This window comes from Homo sapiens, chromosome 10, assembly GCF_000001405.40.
Source record: "Homo sapiens chromosome 10, GRCh38.p14 Primary Assembly".
NCBI lineage: Eukaryota > Metazoa > Chordata > Mammalia > Primates > Hominidae > Homo > Homo sapiens.
The window spans coordinates 42,915,632-42,921,400 of record NC_000010.11 but is presented as its reverse complement, the minus strand read 5'-3'; positions in this window follow the sequence as shown (position 1 = coordinate 42,921,400).

Sequence of the window (5,769 nt, the reverse complement as noted above, 5' to 3'; positions counted from 1 at the left end):
ACTTCTTAGTGAACTTATTCTTTAGCTGATCAGATACATCAAAACAAATATGCTTAGTTACTTAGTCTCCTAGACATCCATTCCAGATTCTTTGAGTTTTTTTTCTTTTTTTTTTTGAGACAGAGTCTCACTCTCTTGCCCAGAAAGCAATGGTGCGATCTTGGCTCACTGCAACCTCTGCTTCTTAGGTTCAAGTGATTCTCCTGCCTCAGCCTCCTGAGTAGCTGGGATTATAGGCACCCACCACCATGCCCAGCTATTGTTTGTATTTTTCGTAGACTCAGGGTTTCACCATGTTGGCCAGGCTGGTCTGTAACTCCTGACCTCAGGTGATCTACCTGCCTCGGCCTCCCAAAGTGCTGGGATTATAGGCTTGAGCCACCGCGCCCAGCCTCTTTTAATTATTCTGTCATCAGTTTATCTAATGCCTTTTTCTTCTTTTTAGTGCAAGCACAATAAGATATTTTGGGAAATAACTTACATTTTGTTATTGTTTGTGGTTTAAAATTAAATATGGTAACAACATTTGACCTTTGGTGATTATGCATAGCATCAGAGTGATGTAATATTTTTCTAACCTGTGTTCATAATAAGCACCTTTAGCAATTGTTCTGTAAAAACTCAGTTTTATTAGTATTTCATTTTTTATTTCATTCATAGCTTCATTTTTTTCCTCAGTGGAATCATATGTTCTTAGAAGTTAAATAGCTTCAGATCAAAGTCAGCAGCAAGTTTCTGACAAATCGATATTTGATACCTTGACTATAGTCCTGCATGACATATAAATAGGTCACACTAGCCTCTTATAGTTAATTTTCTGCTTACGATATAACTTTTCACTTCAATGCCAAATCATCATGTAAGCTTTTAAATAAATTATAAACAGCAATTAAATTCAGCACATCTAGTGCCAAAAATGCACAGAACTCAATTGAAGTAATGACAAAAAGAACAGTTATCATTATGTTCACATAAACACAGGCAATAACACCTAGGTCACATCTACTGCCTCCCAGACAGCAGGTAAAAGAAACAACTCAATTTTACTTTGAAATTTTATTTTATTATGATAAGAACACTTAACATGAAATATACCATCTTAACACATTTTAAAGTGTACAATACAATGTTGTTGTTGTAGTTATTGTTGGTTTTTAGAGACAGGGTCTTGCTCTGTGGGCCAGGCTGGAGTACAGTGGCTGGATTATGGCTCAATAGGGTATAGTTAAAGATAGGTTACAATGTTGTATAGCAGATCTCTAGAACTTATTCATTTTGTTTAACTAGAACTTTATCCTCATTAATTAGCAACTCAGCAACTCAGTTTTAGAGATGCCAGAATTTGTAAAAATCTTGACTTAGAAACAATGAAGTATGTTTCTAATAAAATTTAGGATAAAATTTCCAGAATAATGATATTTAAACTACTTAAAAGAAATACAAAATATACACATCAACATCATGAAATTGTGTCCCCACAATTATAGCAACAAAATATGTAAGGTAACAACTGAAAAAATTATAGATATAAATAGAAGAATCAATAATTATAGTAGGATATTTTAACATACTGCTTTAGAAACTTATGGATAAAACAGACCAAAAAATTAGCATGCGTATCAAGGTCTGATCACTATAATTAATAGATATATAAAGAACTCTAAACCCCCCAAAATAGGTAATACACATTAAATTAGGGCAATCAAGGAACATGTACAAAAATTGACCATGCATTAGAACATAGGGAAAGCTCTCTTAAATTCCAAAGGATGAATTTCACACAAAGCATGTTTCCTAAATATAATACAACTAAAACAACAAAAGAGTTTTTTTGTTTTGTTTTGTTTTTGAGATGGAGTCTCACTCTGTCACCAGGCTGGAGTGCAGTGGTGCAATCTCAGCTCACTGCAACCTCCGCCTCCCGGGTTCAAGCAATTCTCCTGCCTCAGCCTCCCGAGTAGCTGGGACTACAAGCATGTGCCACCATGCCCAGCTAATTTTTATATTTTTAGTAGAGATGGGCTTTCGCCATGTTGGCCAGGATGGGCTCAATCTCTTGACCTCATGATCCACCTGCCTTGGCCTCCCAAAGTGCTGCCACTGTGCCTGGCCCAAAAGAGATTTTTAATCCAATTTTTTTTTTTGGAAATAAATAGCATTTTACAAAATCACTCTTGGATTTAAAAGGAAGTTGCGGAATATTTAAAACTAAATGATAATAAAAACACAGACTGCCAATAAAGCAATTGTTAGAAGGAGAATTATAGCTTTAAGACCATTTTTCAGAAAATACAATTTTTAAAAACAAACTAGCATTCAACTCAAGAGTTGGAATAAGAGCAACAAAGTAAAACCAAAAAAAAAAAAAAAACCACACAAAAGGAGATAATAACCATCAGGGCACACATCAATCAAAACAATGGAGAAGATTAACGAAGGCAGAAATAAAGTCATTGAAAAAATTAACAAGACAGACACATCTCACAAGACTCACCAAGGAAAAAAGATGATCATAAAAGTAAACTATGAGAGGAAATACAGAACAAAAAGAGATAATAACTGCAAACACAGTGGAGATTTTTAAAAATTGTAAAGGAGAATTTTATTGTAAATGAAAAATTGAAGCCCTCAATTCAATGAATAAAATCTTATAAAAATATAGAAAACCAAAACTGCATAAGAAGAAAAAAATTGGAACAGGTAAACCAGGAAACATTAATACAGTTGTAATAGTCCAAGCTCTGCCTTCCGTCAACCCCTCAAACAAACAACCCCAGGCCAAAATGGTTTTGAAGGTAAATTTTACAAAATTTTCAAATTATATACAAATGTTCAAGTTAAGCAAGTTGTTCCAAAATATACCAAAAGAGATAACGTCTTCAAGTTCATTCTAAAAAGTGAACATTGTTTTGATTCCAAAACCAGTTAAGAACAACATCAGAAGTGATAATTACAGACATTTTATTTATAAACCTGAATGAAATATTAGTCGAATCCACCAATTCACAACTAATACAGTTTATTGCAAGAATGTAAGGATGGTTCTACATCATAAAATCTATTAATGTAACTTAACCCAATAAATTGAAGGAGAAATATGATGTGATTATGTTACCAAAACACCAGGGGTCCACTGAGGTCCTGCTGCTTGCTGCACAGCCAATCACTGAGGTAGCCAAGGAAATGAGAGTTCAGTCTCAAATCCTTCTGCCTGACCCACCAAAATTAAAGGTTTATATACCTGGGAAGAAATGTAATAATGTATAAGAAAACAGGAATTAGAGAGGTTAAGGAAGCAATCATGATGAATGAGGGGTCTGGCATCTCATTATCAGGATGTGGTGATTTTGTGAGTTTCAGTTCTTTGATACTTTCGTTGACAGGCCTGAGGGTCCTTTCCTGAGGAAGGAATTCAGATAAAACAAACATAAGTTTGAAGCTCTAAGACCGGAAGAGTACTGTGGTGTTGGTTAGAATTTGAGGGAACAGGATAGATTTAAAAAGCAAACAAATGAAAAACTCATATATTTTCTACTTCTGTTCTGAAAGAGCCAGAAGCATGGTGCTCCAGGAGCAATGAGCACAGCTAGAGACTGGATCTGGGGTTCTAAATTCCCTATCACCACTAGGCCAAATCAAAGACCAGGGCAGGAAAAGTACACAGTGATGGCTAATTTTATGTGTCAACTTGACTGGCCTAAAACATGCCCTGATGGCTGGTAACACATTATTTCTGAGTGTGTCTGTGAGAGTTCTTCTAGAAGAGATTGGCATTTGAAGTGGTGGACTGAGTAAAGATCTACCCTCACCAATGTGGATGGGCATCTTCCCATCTGTTGAGGACCTGATAGAACAAAAAGGTGGGAGAAGGGCAAATTCTCTTCCTCCTTCCCTCCCCTGGGACATCCCTCTTCTTCCACCCTTGAACATGGGAGTGCAAAGAGATTTTTCTTTTATATTTTATTTTTATAAGAGACTATAGTCTATGTAAAATATGTTCTACTTTATGTTTTATAAGATATTTATCATCCATGGTTTCAAATAAGAAATCCACTCTTATTCAAATGACACTTGTAGGTTAAGATGTCATTTCTTCTGGCTGTTTTCAATTTTTTTTGTCTTTAGTTTTATTAAGTTAATGATGATGTGTCTTGGTATGGATTTCTTTGGGTTTATCTTGTTTGTGATTATCATAGTTTCTTGAATCTGTAGATTTATATCTTTCATCAAAATGGGAATTATTTCTTCAAATATTCTTTCAACTCTTTCTTCTCTTCTTATTAGGCTCTGATAGTATGGAAGTCAGATTTTTTTTTTTACTCTAACAAGGTCCCTGAGGCTCTGTTCATTTTTTTCAGATGATTTTTTTTCTGTTATTCTTAATGATGTTATTCACATGATGAGCAAGTGCTATTGATCTGTTCTCATATTCACAGATTTTATGCTTTGTCACTTCCATTCTACCATTGAGCTCATCCAGCAAGTTTTTAATTTATTTTATTGTATTTTTACAATAAAATAAATGATGGTTCTACATCATAAAATCTATTAATGTAATTTAACCCAACAAATTTGTAACTTCTACTTTTTGCTGATATTTTCTATTTTTTCATTTGTAATTAATTTTTTTTTTTTGAGATGAAGTTTCCCTCTTGTCACCCAGGCTGGAGTGCAGTGGCATGATCTCTGCTCACTGCAACCTCTGCCTCCTGGGTTCAAGAGGTTCTCCCGCCTCACCCTCCTGAGTAGCTGAGATTACAGGCACCTGCCACCATGCCAGGCTAATTTTTGCATTTTCAGTAGAGATGGGGTTTCACCACATTGGCCAGGCTGGTCTCGAACTCCTGACCTCAGGTGATCCGCCTGCCTCGGCCTCCCAAAGTTCTGGGATTACAGGTGTGAGCCACCTGCCCGGCCCCTGTAATTAATTTTTGAAGCATTTTTATGATGGTTCCTGTAAAGTCCTAGCCAGAATATTTCAATACCTAATTCGTCTCCATGTTGATATTATTCGATTGTCTTTTCTCATTCAAGTTGTTGCTTTCCTGTTTCTTGGTATGTTATTGTATTCTGGACATTTTGTTTCTTCTGTTAGGAGACTGATTTCTATTTAAATTTTCTATTGTAGCAAGGCAATCACCCTGTTAAGGCTTAGTATGTGAGTAATGACCTACTTTTGTGGGCCATGGTTCCAATAACAGTTTAATTTTCAGAAACTTTGTGGTGTCATTTTCACCTGTTTGGTTTAGCTGGTGCTGCTAGGCTCTTCACTGGTCCCTGCTGTTGCTGCCCAGAGGGCTGAAGGTATTTCCCTAGGTTTGTTGGCCTGGTGTCACTCAGTGGGGTGGGAAGACCCAGGCCCACACAAAAACAGAGGCTTTCCAAGCTGGGCCCTTGTGACAGGATCTCTTCTGCTTATAGGGCACAGAGAGTCTTCCCAGAGGAGGTACTTATGACAGGATGCCCTCTGCCAGTGCCTTCTCCACCTGGCCTGCTGTTTCTTGATGGGAGAGGGGAGTTTCAGGCTGCAGAGGAGGTGAGGACTTCTCTTGCCCACTTATTGATGGTGGGATCCTGGTATATCTCCCTTGCAGGTGGCACTGAACTCTATGAAAGATCCTTAGATGAGTCTCTTATCCAATGGTGTGAATCCCTGTGACAAACATGGGAGACTCACAAGGCTCTTGAGGATGTTATACCAACAGAAACACTGCTAGCTTGGAAAGAAAAGTACAGAGAGAAAGCAAAATGAAAAAGGGCTGTTAGACC